At 33.4% G+C, this 21,905-nt stretch overlaps 1 protein-coding gene across 8 annotated transcripts in view; it reads left to right on the plus strand.

The window, feature by feature from the left end:
• CFAP299 (cilia and flagella associated protein 299) overlaps positions 1-21,905 on the plus strand; it is a 642,486-nt gene that overhangs the window by 296,637 nt on the left and 323,944 nt on the right. For 2 of the 8 annotated variants that reach the window (XM_017007976.2, XM_017007977.2), the window contains one exon: positions 7,445-13,890. The exons of the other annotated variants lie outside the window; for them this stretch is intronic. In XM_017007976.2, coding sequence (XP_016863465.1) covers positions 7,445-7,519 — 75 coding nt within the window. In that variant the 3' untranslated portion in view covers positions 7,520-13,890. Of the gene's footprint in view, positions 1-7,444; positions 13,891-21,905 lie in introns of those variants that run through there. 8 annotated transcript variants of the gene reach the window in all.

The following is a 21,905-nucleotide window of genomic DNA, read 5'->3' on the forward strand; positions in this document are numbered from 1 at the left end:
ATTTAAAGATCTGCCCAAAGGAATTAAAAATACGTAGGGTCATGTTTTCTTACTTTCAGAATGGAATATATAGTCATTAACTTAAATTAAGAAGGAAAAGAAACTAACCATCAAAATTGGAGGAATAAAAGAAAAATTTGTGATGTATGGTCATTTGCATACCGCATAGGTTGTCCTATGCATGTTGCAAAGAGGAAAGATCGGGATGAAGGGGTAATAATGAAACCCTGATAGCATATGAAGTATCTCATGGTCATGGTTGAAAGTCAAGTCTGGAAGGAATAAACTTTACTCTTTCAGGTGTTCAAAGAAAAAAATTAAAGGTAGAGCAAAGCATACTTCTTAGAATTAAGAGGTAAGAGATACAGTATAAAGGCAAACTGTTTTATAGAAAAAAAGTTGTTATCTACAATGTGTAAAAATTTTCTCTCATGAGCATGTGAGTAAGGAGAGTAAACAGTTTTTCTCAAACAATGAATACTACTGAAGGACAACCAGCCAAGTATGTACTTTGATAATAATGCAATATACTCCTTTCAAGTTTATCAGGTATTCTTATAATCAAAAGTGTGTCATAGATCCAAAATTTTGGTGATCTCTACTGTATTAGGAAAAAAATGAAGGGATATATAGAAATAATTTAGAGGTAAAGTAATATGAAGTAAACATCAATGGATTCTTAGAAGACAACATGGAAACATACGTAAAAATCATATAAAAGTTATGTAAAAGTAGTTGAGGCAGAGGGGAGTTCTCTCTGAAGGATCTTGCAGCCTAATTAGCCACATGAACTCCAATTATTTCCATGACTTTTATTGCTACTAAACTAAAAGATACATTACATTAATTCCTTCCCAGTCCAATTGAGGATAAGTTGGCTAATAACAAGTGGATTTTTACTTAGTGTAATAAGGGTAAGTATAATATAATAATATCATAAATAAAATAAACTACTAATCGTGGGAGCTGAAAAGAAATGCTTTCCAATAATAGAAATAAAATAAAAACTTTGTTTAAAGTACATATGAAAACCGTGCTAAAATTATTCATTAAAAAATAGAGGAGTATGACACCTGTATGTGTAATATTTATTACTTAAGGGATCTTTGGCTTTCCATTACTTTTTGAAGTCATTCAGAAATTAGAGACAATTTTAAGCAGTTGAATATTTTATTTTGTTAGATGGTAATTATTCTGTCTGAACATGTGAAAATGCAAACAAAATATAAAAATAATTACTTCTCACAGCATTAAAACACAGCTAGAAACAGTTTACTCCCAAAGTAAGCATTCAGGAAAGATTACCACTTTTAAATTCAAACTTTATTCTGATTTATTTGGAATGTCATGTATCAAAACTATTTGAACCAAAATGCCACAAGGTGGCAGTGGCCTGTCCAAGGTGCAGTCATAGAGCACTGAAGGACCTTCTCTTCAGCGTTGACATTCTATTTCCTTCTTATGCTTTTTTAAATAATTAATCTTTCTGATTGTGCCACATGAAATTTTCTGAATATACTTAGTGTTGAAGAACTTTAGTGACCCATTTCCACAACCTTTATTATTCTCTTCACTACTGAAAGAAGAAACCAATAAGAGCAGAAAACATAAATTTATTATATGTTGTGTTCAGCCACCTAACTAGATGGCTTACATATTATATATCTAGAATATAGTTAAATATTCTTTAGATATTCAATACTGTTGAAGGGCTGAATACAGAATACAGTGTTTGCTGTCATCTCCAAACACAGTGCAGTCAATGACTAGGTATTTACTAAGCAGTTACAACTCTCTTGTGATTTCCAGGCACCTATACTGGCTGTGACAGCTTATTTCATTTACCTGTTTAAAATATGCTTTCACACATATATTTTATTAATAGACATATAATATATTGTGTCTAATAAAGTGATCATGTATTATCTCTTAATTATAATGAGATAAACTGGGATTGAGAGAATTTGTCACAGTGGATTTTGACTGTTTATTTTCCCCTGTGAAAATGATGAAATAATCTTCAAAATTATCATTTTCCAATTTCTATAGAAACATATTGTTATATTAATGAAAAATACCATCAATAATCATAAGCATTGAGAGACTAAAATGATGTAGAATTGTGGAAACAATTTTTAAATATATGATATAAAGCACAAGGCATTATTTTGTCTTTGTTCTTGTTCTTAGACTGAATGCTAAATATTTTCATGAGTTAAATGTATGGAAAGTGATGTGAAAATAATCCATCCATCAGCACACACTTGATTCAATACCTGCATGCAGAGCACAGTGGTCAAGTCTGTGCAGTGGATTTATAGACACAACAATCTTCAGGGTTTCAGGGTTGCATGTATGTCACTACCCTTGCTTGTTGGTATATTAAGAGAAGTAATACCATTATACCATGTATAACTTTTTATGGGTAGCAAATCAGTGAGTGAATCACTCCAGAGAAGAATGAAAAGAGCAATTTGCTGACAAGGGAATGACCATGGAGTTGCCAGACATGGCATAGTGATGAAGAAGTTGTTGCTCTACTTTTAGGGATAGCAGACATGTTCATATAACAGTTTTGAAAAGAATTTAACACATCTTATATTTATATTTTGGATTTTCTGTTTGCTTTACAATTGGGTGAACTTAAACTATGTTTCAGTTGCTTTAGGATGATGGCTTGATTCCTGATGCCATACTGATAAATCCAGATCAGTCTCTGTATTCTTTTCATCATTCTCATCCCTTGATTTAATTAGTTCTTTGAAGCCATCTTCAATCAACTTTACATTACTGACTATCTCTCCTGCCTCTTTTGTCTGCTTAAATTTGTTCCCTACAGAAAGTCAACAGAACACTGGCTTTTGAGTAAAGCAGATCTGGGTTCAAATTCTGGCATCTCTGTCTGGCCATGACATTTTTGGCAATTTAACCTCTATAAGACTGTTGTATACAATGAGAGAAATAATGTGTGCCTTTTGAAGTTGGTTTATGATGAAAACTAAATAACATAAGTATATAGAGTGTCTCACAGACAGTGATTATCAAAACAATTGAAGCTGTTATTTCTGTGGTTGCTACTTCCAAGTTCCGCACTTACCTAACAGCCTATCTTTTTTTTTATCATTAACCAAGTAACCTTTATTAAAGCACTGACACCCTATCATTAATAGATTCCCAGTGGATATTTTCAGTAGAATGCTTCCTTCCTTTAACTATTGCCTTAAATATTTAGTATATAACAAAAAATAGAATTTTGGGGGGATTCAGTTATAGGCAAGGGGCTACATTCAACTTTAAGATGATTTGAATGTTGGCACCTGAAGATAACTTCTTTCCTTTTCCCAATGGGTAGGCTTGGACTGCTGAACATGTCAAGTAGTTCTATTAGGATAGTTTATGAATGATTAAGTATCAGATTTAAAGAAATTGTTTTTGGATAAACCAAGTAAAACTCTCTACCAATAGTTACAGACAAAGTTATTGTCTCCCTCAAATATTTTCATACCTAAAATAAATATTTTGTTATTTTTCACTCTTTTTCATATGACAGTTTCTAATCTCTCATCCCATTCTTTGCACACTCTTCTGACACAATATCATTTGTTGATTTAATAAATGAATTCTTACAGCTAGTTTGGAAGAGGGATATTGTACTGGATTTGAAGCTGGATTATCACAAATATGGAGTGAGTATTTCTGTATGCCAAGCACTATTCCAGATATTGAAAATCCTGGGATAAATGAGACAAAGACTCTAGAAGGTCTTATAGTTATATTAATTATTTGTTTATAAAAATAATTATAAAAGTAATATGATATAGTAAATGCTTCAACAAGTAATTATTACAGCATGATTAAATGCTTCAAATGAGCTGTGAGTCAAATGCTGTGGCATTCAGAAAGAAAGATATTTGTCCTGGGTCTTAAAAGCAGTAAGAATTTTCCAGGTCTTAAAAGAAATAAGAATTTGTGGGATGGTGGGGTGAGGACTGCTAAGGGGAGCATATGGAGGAGAAAACAAACTATTGTGGGTAGAGGAGCCAGTTAGAAGAAAAACCAGTAGTGATAGAGTGATGCATTGTGTTGGGAAAGTTTTGGCTGACAGAGAAGGCACTTAAGTGTCAGTTAAACAAGTTGAGATTATAGTTGGGGTCAGATCATACAGACTGTCAATCCCAAACATAGGAAGTCAGGCTCTGTCCTATAAGCACAGGGAAATATTGGACTCTTTAATGCAAAAATAAGCCATTATTTTATTTTTGAATAATAATTTTTCTGATCATGAGAGAGGAAAAACATAATAGGAGACTAATTGGGAGAGCTTGCAATAGTCCAGGTAAGAGGATGTGAGATGAATGAAGTGAAGGGCGATTGCACTGAACATAAATGCAACAGTCTAGAGTTGATCTGACCAATGCAGAGACATTTTATTTTATTGGTTAAATCAACACAGAGTGATTTTAACAGCACTATAACACTACTATCTGGACTGGGTCATCCCCAGCTGAGTTAGATCCACAGAATATTGATTAGCATTCTGTTTCAAAACTCAGTACATTCTGGTGAAATATTGTTTTCTTCATTTTGTTGATTTGCCTATTTCTATAGGCATCTTTTCTAAAACCATCTTGTTTCATAATATAATAACTTGACTGGCCTTTATAATTTTTTATTGTCAATATGTTTCTAATAATAACTTTGCATTTCTCACTCAGATAGCAAAATGGGTTTATATTTAAAGTACCATGTCTACATCAAATAATATCAGTGAAAGATTAAAAAATTAAGAAAACCTATAAGATTTATCTGGGCTCAAAAGCAAGATCAATATTTTATAGGCCAGAAATGCCAGGTTGTGAGTGGGTCTACAGCTGCAGTCCACTAGGAAGCAACTGCTGACTCACATCATCTAAAAAAACTCCATGCAATACTTGAAACTAGAGATAATGGGCTTACTGCTTTATGTCTGGGATGAGAATGACTCTCGCTCAATCAATTTTCTCTCAAGAAAGGAGGTTAGCATTATATTTGTAACTATGAGCTTGGGGCTATGGCTTTGTAGGACACTGTAGACCAAAGTAAGTGAGAGGATCAACATGTCACTTTTTTTAAAAAAGTGGAAATTAAGTTAGTTTCTAAGTTGCCCACTGGGTTAGTGACTGACCGATCTCATCAGGAAGGGAATATTTTATGCTTCTGTTCTACACTCAATTTATTAGTAGGGTAAGTAGAAACAACTCAACAAGAAATAAGGAAGGCTAATATTGGCAGGAGAGAGAAAGGAGGGGAAAGGGGTATTCCTTTCACTCAAATGAGTTTGCAAATCAAGATTCTAAAGTATGTAAGTAAACTAATCGATGTTAAGAAAGACAACTATACCAGGCAAAATGCACAAGAATATGTCCAAGATAAAATTAATATTAGGGAATAGTCTAATATTAATACTCATGGCAACAAACAAAAATTATGAAACAAAAAGGCAGAAATGAAACAAAAATAATTAGACATGTATAGAACCAAACGAAGAGATGGGTGGAACACGATGGCAAAGTAGAACTCTTTGGCAGTCATCACCCCACAGGAATATTGATTTTGACAACTATCCATACACAAAAATATTCTTGCAAGAGCTAAGGAAACAAGATAAAGCTTTCACAGTATCTGGCTGTAGCACAATGCTAAGAAAAGAGATATTGATAAGCTGGAAAGGACAGTTTTGCATTACCCCTGTCATTCCTCCACCAAACCCGGGCAACACAATGCATCTAGAGACACCATTTCCTCAGGGAAAAGAGAAGAAAGTGAGCATATAATTTGCCTTGGACCCCAATACTGACACCAACACAGTGTAACCCAGCATAAGGCAGACCCCCACAGCCCCATACTCTAGATTAGAATCTGCAGACAGAGTCTCTAGAATCATCCTAGTGCAAGACAGGACCACACAGCCCCACGTCTCAGGCTTGTGTGGAAGACTTGATTTCTGGTAGCTCTAGACATCCCTTGTGGCAGGCAGTTCTCAGTGTACGCCAGGCTTCAGGCAGCAACCCAGTGCCATGCCAGCAGCAACTGCACTGAACATAACCCAATGCTGTGCCTATTGCATATTTTCTCAGAAAAATGCCAGTCTGCTAAGGCTGGAATAAGTACCTAGTTCTTCAAATATGCAGATGTTGATGCATGACTACAAATATCAAGAACAATCAGGACAACATGACATCATCAAAAGGACAAAATAAGGGTGCCATTGACTGTTCCTAAAAATAGAGATATATGATATATATGACAAAATAACTGTTTTAAGGAAGCTCAGCAAACTTCAACAAAAATACAAAGAAACAAATCAACAAAATGAAGAAAACAGTATTTGACCAGAATGATAATAATAGAGAGACTGAAAAAAATAAGTAAAAAGCAAACAAATCCTGGAGCTTAAAAATACAAGGAATAAAATGAAAAATTCAATAGATGGCATCAACAGCAGAAATGATCAAGAAGAAAGGATCTGTGAAACTGAAGGGGGATTATTTAAAAATATACAGAGGAGAAAAAAAGAAATATAAATAAATAAATAAGCTTATGAGATTTATGGGGCAGCAACAAAAGAGCAAAACATTTGAGTCAGGGAATACAATTAAAAAAAGATAAAGGGGTAAGAAACCTTTTTAGAGAAATGCTAGCAGAACAATTTTCAAATCTGGAGAAAGACATCAATTTCCAGGTACAACAAGGTCAAATATCTCTGATCAGATTCAATGCAAATAAGACTATTTTAAAAATATTATGACCAAACTGTCAAAAATCAATGAGGAGAGGATTTTTAAAAAAACAGCAAGAGAAAAGAAGAAAATTATGTATAAAAATGTTTTAATATGGCTAACAGAAGACTCCTCAGCAGAAACTCTATAGTCCAGGAGAGAAGAGGTTGATAAATTTAAAGTGCTGAGAACAACAAATACTGTCAATCAAGAATACTGTGCTCAGCAAAACTATTCTTCAGAAATGAAGGAGGAATAAAGACTTTCCCAAATAAACAAAAGCTGAGGGAGTTCATCACCACCAGACTTGTCTTACAAGAAATGCTAAAGGGAGCTCTTCAAGGTGAAAGAAAAAAACACTAATAAGTCACGTGAAAACACCTGAAAGTATAAAACTCACTGGTAAAAGTAAATACATGGTTCAATTCAAAACACTCTGATACTGAAATGGTGGTGTGTAAATCACTTAAATCTGTATTATAAAGGTTAAGACAAAACTATTAAAAATAACCAAAATAACTTATTGAGGGATTTGCAATATTAAAAGATGTAAATTGTGGCATAAAAAATTCAAAATGTGGTTTGGGGAGTGGAGTAAAAGTAGATGGTGTGTCTGTGTGTGTATGTGTGTGTATGTTATCAAAGTTAAGTTGTTTTCAGCTTAAAACATGTTATATTTTTTGTAGGTCATATGGAAACCACAAAGCAAAACCTATCATAGGTATGTGAAAATAAAAAGCAAGCAATCAAAACAACACTGAAGAAAATCACTTAGCTATAAAAGAAGACAGAAAAAGAGAAAGAGACAGAAGATCTATGAAAAAACTAGAAAACAGTTAACAAGATGGCAGTAGTAAATCCTTACCTGTCAATAATTACTTTGAATGTAAATGGATTATGTTCTCCCATCAAAAGGTGTAAGATAGCTGAATGAATTTAAAAAACAAAAAAACAAGATCCAAATATATGCCACCTACAAGAGACTGACTTCACTTGTAAGGACACACATAGACTTAAAGTGAAGGGCTGGAGAAAAATACTGCATGTAAATGGTAGCCAAACACAAACTGGAGTGGCCATTCTTATATCAGATTATATAGACTTTAAGTAAAACTGTAAAAAGAAAAAGTAACATAATTGTATCATTATAAATGGGTCAATTCAGCAAGAGGATATAACAATTACAAATATATACGTACCCAATATCCAAGCTGATGAAGATATAAAGTAAATATAAATAAATTTGAAGGGAGCAATAGATTGCCATATAATAAATTTAGGGGAGTTAAACACCCCACTTCTGGAAATGGGCAGATCATTCACACAGAAAATCAATAAGGAAACAGTAAACTAAAAGCATAATCTAGATCAAGTGGACATAACAAATATATGCCCAACATTTCACCCCAAAGCTGCAGAATATATATTATTTTATTTGCAACTCCACATGGAACATTCTCTAGGATAGATTATATGTTAGGCCACAAAGCAAGTCTTAACAAATTTATGAAGGTTGAAATCATATCAAGTAGCTATTCTGACCTCAATTAATTAGAATTAACATAAATTAATTAGAGGAGACACTTTGGAAAATTTGGCAAATGGAAATGCTCTTGAACAACTAATAGGTCAATGAAGAAATTGGAAAGAAAATTTAAAAATTTCTTAAGACAAATGAAAATTGAATCACAACATACCCAAACTTACCAGATACAGCAAAAGCAGTTCTAAGAAGGAAGCATGTAGCTGTAAACAGTGACATTACAAAAGGTAAAAGATCTCAAATAAACAACCTAACATTGTACTTCAAGGAACTGCAAAAAACAGGAATAAACTAAGCCCAAAGTTAGTAAAAGGAAGGAAATAATAAAAATCAGGACAGAAATAAAATAATAGAGCCTGGAAAAATAATAGAAAAATATATATTTTTGAAAAGATAAACAAAATAAAACTTTAGCTTCACTAACTGAGAATGAAATAGGAGTCAAATAAGTAAAATGAAGAACAGGAAAAGGAGATATTACAATTGACACAACAGAAATTCAAAGGGCCATAAGAGATTATTATGAACATTTATATACCAACCATTTCAGTAACCTAGAGAAACAGATAAATTATTTGATGCTTTTATTATGAAGACATAAAAAATCTTTACAGACCAATAACCAGTAAAAAGATTGAATCAGCAATAAAGTCTCCTATCAAAGAAGAGTCTGGGACATGGTGACATCACTGCTGAATTCTATCAAATATTTAAAGAAGAACTAATAAAAATTTTGCTTAACTCTTCCAAAAAATTGAGGAGATGAAACTTTCAAACTTATTTTATCAGGCCAGCATTACCTTGATACCAACAAACAAACAAACAAACAAACAAAAAACTACAAAAAACCCTACAGACCAATATCTCTGATTAATATAAATGCAAAAATCCTCAACAAAATATTAGCACACTGAATTCAATGGTACATTGAAAATATTATTCATCATGATCAAGTGGTATTCATTCCAGTGATGCAAGGATGGTCCTATATATGCAAATCGGTAAATGTAATACATTACATGAACAGAATGAAGGACAATAAGCATATAATCATTTCCGTAGGTGCAAAAAAATTTGGAAAAATTTGGCATCCTTTCATGATTAAAAAACTCTAAATAAATTAGGTATAGAAGGAATGTACTTCAACACAATTGAAGCTATATATGATAAACCCCATAGCTAACTCAATGGGGAGAAGTTGACAGCTTTTCCTCTAAGACACAGAGTAAGATAAGGATGTCCATGTTAACCACTTCCATTCAATATAGTATTGGATGTGCTAGCCAGAGCAATTAGGCAAAAGAAAGAAATAGAAGACATACAAATTGGAAAGGAAGAAATTAAATTGTCCCTGATTGCAGAAGGCATGACCCTATATACAGAAAATTCTAAAGACTTTACAAAAAGAAACCTGTGAGAATTATCTAGTAAATTGAGTAAAGTTGCAGGATACAAAATCAACATACAACACTCGGTAGTGTTTCTATTCACTAATAGCAAGCTATCTGAAAAAGAACAAGAGAACCATACCATTTACAATACTTACAAGAAATATTTAGGAATAAATTTAACCAAGGAGGTGAATGATCTCTACCCTAAAAGCCATAAAACAATGATGAAAGAAATTAAAGAAGACACACATAAATGGAAATATATTCTTTGTTCATAGATTGGAAGATTTAATATTGTTAACATGTCCATACTACCCAAAGCAAGCTACAGATTCAACAGAATTCCTATCAAAATACCAATAACATTTTTCACAGAAATAGAAAAAACAATTCTAAAATTCATATGGAATAACAAAAAATTCCTGAAAAGCCAAAGCATTTTGAACAAGAAGAAGAAAGCTAAAGACATTACACTACCTGACTTCAAAATATGTTACAAAGCTATAGTGACCAAAACAGCATGGTACTGGCATAAAAATAGACACACAGAGCAATTAAACAATAGAGAGCACAGAAATAAATCCATGCATTTACAGCTGGCTGATTTTTGACAGCGGTGTCAAGAGCACACAATAGGAAAAGGACAGCCCTTTCAATAAATGCTTTTGGGAAAACAGGATATTCACAGGCAGAAAAATAAAATTAGAATCTTATCTCACACCATATATAAAAATCAACTTAAAATGGATTAAAGACTTACATGTAAGACCCAAAACTATGAAACTACTAGAATAAAACTTAGGAGAAAAACTATGACATTTATCTGGGCAATGACTTTTTTGGAAATGACCCCAAAGCACAGGCAACAAAAGCAAAAATTGACAAATAAGATTGCATCAAACTCAAAAGCTTCTGTGCAGCAAAGAAAACAACCAACAGAGCAAAGAGACAACGTGCAGAATGGAAGAAAATGTTTGCAAACTGTATATCTGTTATGGGGTTAATTTCCAAAATACGTAAGAAATTCAAACAATTCAATAGCAAGAAGGCAAACTATTCAATAAAATTAGGAGCCATGAAACTGAACAGACATTTCTTAAGGCATACAAATGGTTAAAAAGTATGTGAAACAAAAGCTCAATATTACTAATCAGGGAAACATAAATTAAAAACACAATGAGATATTACCTTAGAGCAGCTAGAATGCGTATCTTCAAGATAAAAGATAAGTGTTGGCAAAATGTGCGGCAAAGGGAACCCTTGCACGCTGTTGGTGAGAATGTAAATTGATGCAGCCATTATGGAAAACAGTATGGATGTTCCTCAAAAAATTAAAAATAAAACTGCCATATAATCCAGCAATCCCACTACTGAATATGTATCTAAAGAAATGAAATCAGTATGTTGAAAAGATTCCTTTACTTTTGTGTTTATTGCAGAATTATTCACAAAAGCCAAGATATGGAATCAACCTAAGTTTCCATTACTGAATGAGTGGATTAAAAAATGTGGACACAATGGAATACTATTAAGCCATAAAAAAGAAGGAAATCCTGTCATTTGCAACAACATGTATTAACCTGGAGGACATTATGTTGAGTGAAATAGGCGGGGCACAGAAAGACAAATACCACCTGATCTTGCTCATATGTGGCATCTTAAAAAGTTAAACTCACAGAAGTAGAAAGTAGAATAGTGTTACCAGGGGCTGGGGTATTTGAGAGTCAGGGGGGAGAGATGTTGGTCAAAGAATATAAAATTTCAGTTAGATAAGAGAAATAAGTTCAAGAGCTCTATTGTACAACTTGGTGACTGTAGTTTATAATATATTGTATTCTTGAGAAATGCTGAGAGAGTAGATGTTAACTGTTCTCACTACAAAAATCAAAAATGATAGCTATATGAGGGAATACATATGCTAGTCAGTCTGTCTGTATATATATTTCAAATACTGTTCTCTACACAATAATATATGCACTTTTATCTGTCAATTTATAAAAAATTGGCCAAGTGCAGTGGCTCACACCTGTAACCCCAACACTTTGGGAGGCCGAGATGGGCGGATCACTTGAGGTCAGGAGTTCAAGACCAGCTTGGCGAACATAGTGAAACCTGGTGTCTACTAAAAATACAAAAATTAGCCAGGTATGATGGTGTGCACCTGTAGTCCCAGCTACTTGGAAGGCTGAGGCAGGAGAATCGCTGGAGCCAGGGAGACAGGGGTTGCAGTGAGTCATGATTATGCCATTGTGCTTTAGCCTGGAGACTCTGTATCTGGAAAAAAAAAAAAACAAAAAAAACAAAAAAAACCCAGAAAAATTTATTTAAAAATTGTAGAGAATAGAACCAACTGAAACTTTTCTGAATACAGCTATTTTCATTGAAATTTTTAAAATGTTTAGGTGGAATAAATTCTAGAATGAAAATAGTTTAAGAGAAAATTCGTGAACTGATCATAGGACTGAGAATTTTACCCAGAATGCAGCAAAGAAAGGCAAAGAGATAGGAATTTTGGAGAAAAAAAGAATCCTCCACGGGATAATGAGATTGAAAGGCTCCAACATACTTTGAACTGACCTTCCAGAAGAGAATGGAAGTAATGATACAAAAGCAGTATTTTTGTGTATACGTTTTTCTTTTCTTGTGGTAGGGAGTAGAAAAGCCGTACACAGTAAATTAACAGTAAAGTAAAATCATTCAAAAGTGAACCTCATCATTCTATATCTGTGAAAGTTGCATATGAATATTCTGATAACTTTTCTCTTATCAGAAAAGTCTTACCTTTAAAGATGTCTTAAAACGAAAATTCACATCATGCTTTAAATTTGTTCTCTACTAAACAATTTGGTGAACAGCATATATTTTAAAAGTTCTGGGTTATTAGAGTGATGACTACATTAATAATAGTGTTTTTTTAATAAATTATAAAATGTTGATTTTATGAAACATTATGTTTTTATAATATCGTAGAAAATACTGTAGTGGCAACTAATGCTAATTTTCTGTGAATATGGGAATCATTTCAAGGAAAGACAAAGATATAATGAAGTGTGCTGTATATATGTTTAATTATGCAGTACAAGGGATTAAAGTATTTTATTCATGAAATTAATGATCCACATATTATCGAGTAATATATTGACAATAGAAGCATAATATAAGTACTTAAATGAAATTATTTCATTAATAGCAGATTTTCCATGAAACAAATGCCAAGAATAGACAGACTTGTAAATTATTTTTTTCTTACACATACATACTTAAGAGTTACGTTAACATATTACTTCAGGACAAGATGTTTTAGAAATTAATTAGGATTTAAATGAAAATAGACCCTCACCAATTTCCACTAATGACAGGAAGATGCTATTTAGACTGTTAAAATATTAAAATTAGAAAGCATAAAAGAGGTACAATCAATTGCAGGGCTATGCATAAAATATAGTTGTTTCCTTTATTAGAGTAGTGTTGTTTAAATTAATTATAAAATAACATTATGTTCACATCAATTGGCCCAGCCTTTAGTATATTAAGCTGTCATAGTCACTAGTTGATTTTACAGTTATTATTTATGAAAGTTGCCATTATTCAGTATTTATAAAAGTTGCCAAGGTGGTAAATAAGTAACCTTTATCATTATTTTATAATTTATTTTTATAAGAAACATTTGTTGGTATAGCATTATATAATTCATGTCTTATTAGTTTATTTAAATATGTATTTGGCTGATAAATTGTATAAATTGTATGAGAGTCAGTGCAAATACTTTGAACAGATACCTACATAAACATCAAGTGCAAATTATAAAGTAAAGAGTAAGTCTAGAAATTGGTAAATATTCAAACTAAATATTAAAAGAAAAAATATATTTTGGGATTCCTGGTTGTTTGCATTTCTTCCTTTTTAATAATTTGGCATTAATCTAGCATTTTTTCTTTATGCTTCATGATAGATTATAATTTTAACAGCTCCAATATTTAAGGCTGTATCTTACATTTTGAAAAAGAGAAGGTACTTCATTTTGTCTCTTACAACATTCAACTACTGTCATAAATCCATTTGTATAAACATATTACTTTCAAGTTAGTCAATTTACTTCATTTTTCTTTCAAATACTTTTTCTTTTTAATCTATGTCATCATGTTTTGTGATTGCTTTAGCCACGTGAACAATAATAAAAGAATTTTGGAAAATCTGATTATTTTCTCTATAGTTTCATGTTGTAGTTCATTTTATAGGTTTAGGCTATCAGTCTGAATATTTGTGCCCCACCCCCCCCCAACCAAATTCATATGTTAACATTCTGACATCCAATGTGCTGGTATTAGGCAGTGAGGCATTTTGGGAGTTAAGTGGGTCATTCATGAGGCAGATCCCTCATGAACAAATTTGTGCCCTTATAAAAGAGGCCCCAGAGAGCTGCTTTGCCTCTCCCGACCCTGAAGAAGAAGAGCCTCTCTAGAACCTGACAATGCTGGCACCCTGATCTTAGATTTCTCAACCTCCAAAATTGTGAGAAGGAAATTTCTGTTGGTTATAAGTCACCTAGTTTATGGTATTTTTAATAGCAACCTAAATGGATTAGGGCAACATTTTTTTCAACATGACTTAACATTTTCTGATAAAAATAATTTTCTTGTATCAAAATTATTTTAAAAACAATTTGGTTTTCCTTTAATAAAGAACAAATATGCTTTAAGTTATTATTAAAAATTATAATTTCCCCTCTTCTTCATATCACTTAATTTGCTCATTCATTCAATAAATATACATTTATTCAGCATTTATTAAAAATAGTAATTTCCTTTTTTCTTCATATTAGTTAATTTGATCATTCATTCAATGAATCTACATTTATTCAGCATCTATTATATGCCAGGCAAGTGCTAGCTACAGGTAATAAAACTCTGGACAATATTAACAAGTCTCTTGCCATCATGGAAATTACTACTGAGTGGGAGAAGTGGACTGCAATACTATGATGGAAATGAAGATATTTAATAATGGCATGCAGAGGCAGATTAACTTACATATATATACATATGAGAAAACATACACTTGTTACTTGTACATATAATGAGAAGGGAAATCTTTGCATGATGAGGTGCCTATTTTCAAGCTTTTTTTTTTTTGCATGCATTCAACACTTAAACATCACAGAACTAAGAGAAAATGTATTGTCAAAGAAATACAAATTTAAATATTTTCCAGGAGAACATCAATGAAATTTTTTAACCCATTTATCTGATTTGTAAAAGAATGAAGTAAAGGAAAGACCTTGAAAATTAGCTTCTATAATATGAATAATGTATTCTTAAAAAGCACAATCTTATCATCCTGAAAATGCATAATATAATGAATGGGCAATATTATGTGATTTTTATTTGATAGCACAATTAAGACACAAAATCTCACTAAAAGAACATATATTAAACATGTTTATTTTCTTCTCTTTAAAATGCCTTTTAAAAATTAAATTTCTATCTTATCACCATAATTTCTTCTTACAAGTGAGAAACATATACATCATATAAATTAGTACCCTCCTCTTTTATTCTTAAAATGTGAAAGTGGGCCGGGTGTGGTGGCTCACGCCTGTAATCCCAACACTTTGGGAGGCCGAGGCGGGCGGATCACGAGGTCAGGAGTTTGAGACCAGCCTGGCAAGCATGGTGAAACCCCGTCTCTACTAAAAATACAAAATTAGCCGGGCATGGTGGCATGCTCCTGTAGTACTTGGGAGGCTGAGGCAGGAGAATCGCTTGAAGCTGGGAGGAGGAGGTTGGAGTGAGCCGAGTGTCACGAGTGGAGTGTCACGCCACTGCAATCCAGCCTGGGTGACAGAGTAAGGCTCTGTCTCAATAAATAAATAAATAATAAATAAAAGTGGAAATGGCTACTAAACTTTCTAAATTACAACTTAAAATCACCATGGCAATTTTATTAGACCTTATGTCTTGCTATAATTTGCCATCTTAAGAGACAATTTTCTAGAGGAAAGATGTAGCATAATTATACCATGGCTTTAGGGGTTTAGATATGGCAAAATACTGCCAGGAATGCTGATACTAAATTTTCTTCCTAAATTTTATTTGCATCTAATTAAGACTACAACTCAACAAGCCATTAAAAAATAAAATCTTACTCGTTTGACTGATTGAATTTCATGGGAAAATAATTTATTGCTTTGCTCAGAAACCAAATTTGTATAATACTAATTATCTAAGTAGCAGTTTTTCCTGAAAATAGTCTTAATTAGAACCTTTTCTTTACATGGTTGATATTTTCCCTCTTTAAGCATTTTTAATAATGTAGAGAACAGACTGAAAAGCCATGGAGTTATTGCAATAAAAAACTGAAAGTAAACTCTCGCTTCCTGAGGAGAAAACTTTTTTTTTTTTTTTTTTTTTTTACGAAATCTAGCTCTGTCGCCCAGGCTGTAGTGAGTGGCATACTCTCGGCTCACTGCATCCTTCACCTCCCGGGTTCAAGTGATTCTCCTGCCTCAGCCTCCAGAGTAGCAGGGACTACAGTGTGCACCACCACGCCCAGCTAATTTTTTGTATTTTTAGTAGAGATGGGGTTTCACCATGTTGACCAGGCTGGTCTTGAACTCCTGACCTCATGATCTGCCCGCCTCGGCCTCCCAAAGTGCTGGGATTACTGTTGTGAGCCACCGCACATGGCCGAGAAAACTCTTGAGGTAGCACAGCATGGTGGCTAAGAATGTATGTGCCAGAGCCACAACAAATTCAATTCAAATCAATTCCGTTGCCAACTTCTTCGGCAATTTACTTAATCTTTTTGGTCCTTGATTCCCTCATGTGTAAAATGGAGAAGACAGTATTTACCTCAGAGTGTCATTTCATCATATGTCATTTCATTATATATATATATCTGTATACATAATAGCATACTTAAAATTGTGCCTGCTGTTTTATAAATACTATGCTAATGTTTAGCTATTATTTTAAACAATTTCCGCTTAGCTGTTTAAAACTTTCTACCTTGGCTGCAATTATTACAAAGTGGTATTATCTTACAGCATATGGGGGAATAGATATGTAGCATAACACACATTTTTTTGATGGGCTATTATAATTGGATGACTAAAACATACTCAAAAGTACAACCACATTGTATCTCCTAATTTGGATTTAATAAGCTTCCAAAAGCATTTAGGAATTTTTAGTTCTTTGAAGACATCTTTATGAACATCTAGTATCATTAAATTGAAGTCGTATTAACTTTTTGGTTGGCAGAGTACCATTTAGTGAATGCCAACCAAACTAGAATTTGCTAACATGTAAAATGTGGAATACCCTTTGTCTAACCTGAAATAAACAAAATATGAATAGTAAAATGAAATTAATATTATGTATTTCACTGAGATCATTATAAATCATCTCTTATTATGCTGTCTCCCAGAGAAATATAATGTAATATGATTACTTATCAAATAATTGCAGTTTTCTTAAAACAGGCACTCATTCTAGCTTTGTAAAGTAATCAAGCTTTATAAGTAATATGGTTTTATTAAGTTATATAATTCTTAAAATTATAAGGTAGAAATGAATTTAGTGCAGTTTACAGAAAATTTTCATTTATGACATTTCAGATATAATTCCAGCTTATCTGGAATTTAATACAGGTACAACTAAACAGAAGATAGCAGAAATTGCAATTGTCATATGCAACTTTTCCCATAGAAAGTGTCTCATGAGAGAGAGATACCCCACAGAATACTGAATCTGTAACAAAACCTTCCTATCACAAATTAGATTTAAAATCTACTTTTGCCTTCTCTCTTCCTTCTTGCTATAGCTGTCTTATAACTAACAGACTCTCCCACATTACTTCCTTTACTCCTAACCAAAATAAACAATAAAGAGAATAGACTTAAATTTTAATTTTTGTTCAAATATAGCATTTTATTAAAATTTAAGATAACTTCTCCAAAACAAAATGGGTCACAGTTTTAATATATGTTAGTGACTGCTATGTTCTCTTTATTCTCTGTGTTTTATCCTTGGAATTAAAATTAATAAGAGAAACATAAAGATAAAGTGAATGGATTTATTTTATTATTTTACATGATCACTTACCTTTTCACAGCAGTCCTTAGATTCCTCCCAGGTGTTACACCAGGAATTTGGTAGAAAGCAGATTTTTATGACCCATGTAAGTACTGAAAGTGGTAGCTGGCATTTATTTTTCAGTTAGTATTCTAAAAATCATGGGCCCTCACATATAAAACTTTACTACCTTAGGTGACTGCACAGAATTTGGAGATCTCAGGTCTTTTGTTAAACATGGCCCACTGACAATTGGGTAGTTTCACATTCTGGTAAAAATATATATATTTTCTGCAAGAGACTTCATGTAAGTTCACTGATACTAAAAGGAAATGTACATTGAAAAGCAAATTTTAGGATTTCTCCTCAGTTAATAGAAGCCTCAAATTAGAAAAATAGCAAATCTTTTTAGTACAATTATCACATATTCATGGTCACTAATATATCTCAGAAGGATTAAAAAATAAAGCTTTCTCTGAAACCTTCCTCCTTCTTTAGAAGTACAGACAGGGATTAGAGAGGAAGAAAGTGACACCTGCCTAGCTGGCCAGATCAGCAGCCTTAACTTTCAGGTGGCCTTAAACTTCATGTGACTCTTTATTGTATCCTCAGACCCTTCCTTTTCAATATTAAAAGGTCATCTATGAGTAAATGGAGCATTTCATTTGTAACCACTCAGAAGTGTTACTGAGTAATTATAAAAGTTTATTTTTCAAAGAAAAGCAATAAAGTTTACAAACGAGAATTTTTAAGATTAAAAAAATCTTACAAGTGTTAGCATTATGCTTCTTTGCATTTGTTCATAAATAGTCAAAGGACTGCTCAAGTGACTATAAAAATATTAGAGATTGATAGCATCTGCCTAGACTAAACTCTTTCAAATTATAAATGACGATGCTCAGATACGTTAAGACATGCCTAAAGTGACATGGCTGGTAGAAAAGTGTTCTAAATCAACATATCTTGGTATCCTATATTTATGACTTGTATAATACCTCTTATAGACTGAGATAGAGCAGGAGCTGGCAAACAATTGCTCATGGGTCAAACCCAGCCTACCTAATGTTTTATCGGTACTCAGCTGTACTCATTCATTTACCTATTTTCTATGGCTGCTTTTGCACCAAATGGCAAAGTTGACTAATTGTAACAGAAACTGTATGGCCAACAAAACCTAAAATATTTACTTGTTCCTTGTAGAGAAAGTTTGTCCACCCCGAGTACAGAAAATTAAGGTATAGGTATATATTAGAAAATAAAAAATTGAAGTTTTTAAAAAAGTATTGTTCACAAAAATAATAATCAGAATTAAAGAAAAAAGTTTTGTTCAATGTACCTATCAAATAATTGTTTGAAACTCCACTCTGAATCAATAAATAAAACAAAGACTATGAAACAAAAAAGACTATGTTCATCTATGGATGCTACAAAGAATAGTTCTATCATAAATTACTTTTGTTCATTTTTTGTAAAGATCAAGAACCTAAGTCCCACTATATAATGTTTAATAAAGATAAAGTGTTGGTTTAGAAGGTCTATAAAAGAGGTATGGTTAATATCCCCTAAATTGTATGCCAACAAAATAGAGGGAAAATGAGAAAAATATGCCATTGTCAGCAAGGTATAATAGATATAATATAATGTACAGTAAAAGGAGAAGTGATAGACATGCAATTTTTTTCCTGTGAAATGCCCTGACTTTGGAAAGAAATGGTTGTCAATGCCTGTGCATTTCCTTGACAGATTATGCCAGACTGCACAATGGCAGCATTTGTCTTTGGTCTGTGGACCTAAGACAGTTGCTATCGGTGGAACCTTTTTCTGTACAGGTAATAACAAGGTGGTCAGTCATGCAACCCAAAGATCGAGTTTAAAGTTAAAATTAAAGAGGAATTCCCAGCACTATAGCATTTCATTTTATGTAAGGCTCTCCACCAGCCAAACTCGTTTACTTGTCATAGCTACCCAAATGAGAATACAAGGTTGACATGAAAGATGCAAACATGTAAGGTAGTCTCATTCCATAGAAAAGGACCTAACAGAAACACTAGAACAAACCTATTAGATGACTTAAAAGAATAATAAAAAGAGTAATTAACAAAAGCATATAACCTCTATCATGTCCTTCAAAAACTAACATGTGCAAACAGTAGTTCAACTTGAGGTCACGTTGCCTTGCTTCCAACTCTTCACTAGAGAAGCCTCATTTAAAGTCAGTACAATCTCTGTATTTCTTTTGTCACACAAAGTTGACTATCCTAAAATATTTAATTTAAAATATCCTGGTTGATTTCTAGCAATAAAGAAAATATTTTTTATTAACTTTCTACATGTAATTAGCATTTTATGTGAGAGAAAATTTGGTGGCTACAGGAAATCTTCAAGTGTTCAGAGTTCAAGGAGATCCAGCTCATCAAATCCTTTTTTATTGACAGATGAGAAACTGAGACTCAGAAAGCCTCATTGCCAGAGTCACACAGAGAGTAGGAACATGGCTGGTAGACCAGAAACAAGTAACTTCAACTTCCTGCTGCAGGCCCTTTTCACAGTGCCATCCTGATCCCCCTACTTGGAGAACTTTTATTCAGTTTTAGTAATGGGGTGTGGAAGGGAGCTAATTTATGCCAACGGGCTCCAATTTGAGAACATTTTCTTCAACATTTGAAGATTATGATGCACTTTATCGATATATGAATTTGTGATCATATAAGCTGTGAAGCCTATTTAGCCATGCTTCTTGGGTCTAGTGATAGGTCTCCCTTGATGAGAATGCAAGGTTGACATGAAAAATACACAGAAGTAACATAGCCTTATTTCAAAGAAAAGGAACTAGAGATCTCCGAAATCAGAAACACTAGAGCAGGCCTATTCAATGACTTAAAACACGGAGTCCAACACTTGAGTCATGCTTCCCTGAGAATATAAGGATGCAGCTACAGGTCACAGTTTAACTGCCTGGATTGTGTCCCTGACTAGAGTTTCTGGATTATCACAATGATCATATTTTCTGATGGTAAGTTCTATTATTCTCTTTTAGTTCCTGTTAAATTCAAAGTCCAACAACAATGCCAAGTGTGATCCATCATGGGTGCCTGCAGTCACTCTTAGGTTCAGCGAATATTTTAGGGCACTCAATATGTATTAGGTTGTCTGCTCATGCTGCTATAACAAAATACCATGGATGGGCAGCTTAAACAACAGAAATTTATTTTCTCACATTTCCAGAGGCTGAACGTTTGAGATGAGCGAGTGTGGTAGATTTCTATTGAGAGTTCTCGTCCTAGCTTTCAGACTGCCACCTTCTTCCTGTGCCCTAATGGAGCAGAAAGAGAGAGCAAGATCAAGCTCTTTGGTGTCTCTTCTTATAAGGCCACTACTCCTATTATGAGGGCCCTGCTCTCATGACCTCACCTAAACCTAATTACCTCCCAAAGGCCTCATCTCCAAATACCATACATCAGGAGTTAGGGCTGCAACACATGGATTTTGAATTTATTCCATAACCCAGGTGCTGCACTAGGCATAAGTAAGACACAAATAATTCCCCCAGCAAGAAAGACGTATGTAAAACAAAGAGTCACAATGCAATGAGAAGTGGGCCCTTAATGAGTAAAATACAAATACTCTAAGGAGCTTAGGGGACTGCAGTGTCCGCTCTTCACCTCACAGAGGAAATGAAATTTAGGTGAGGCCAGAAGAACATGGAGATGTTTTTTGGTGTGGAGAAGATATAGGTAAGGGGATATAAAAATTCACAGCGGGACTAGCTGTTTAATTTGTGAGGAATCCCATGCAAAATGAAAATGGAAAGGCCCTTGCTCTAAAATTATTGACAGTTTTAAGACAGTGACAGAAAATCATTAAACCACATTTGAGAAAAAGGACAAGTGTTGTGTGATTCCACTTATATAAGGTACCTAGAGTAGTTAAATTCATGGAGACAGAAAGTGGAAAGGTGGTTACTGAGGACTAGGGGAGGGAAGAATGCAGAGTTATGTTTTTATTTATTTATTTATTTTTTGAGATGGAGTTTCGCTCTTGTTGCCCAGGCTGGAGTGCAATGGCACCATCTCGGCTCACTGCAACCTCTGCCTCCTGGGTTCAAGGAATTTTCCTGCTTCAGCCTCCCGAGTAGCTG

This window comes from Homo sapiens, chromosome 4 (assembly GCF_000001405.40).
Source record: "Homo sapiens chromosome 4, GRCh38.p14 Primary Assembly".
Classification (NCBI taxonomy): Eukaryota; Metazoa; Chordata; class Mammalia; order Primates; family Hominidae; genus Homo; species Homo sapiens.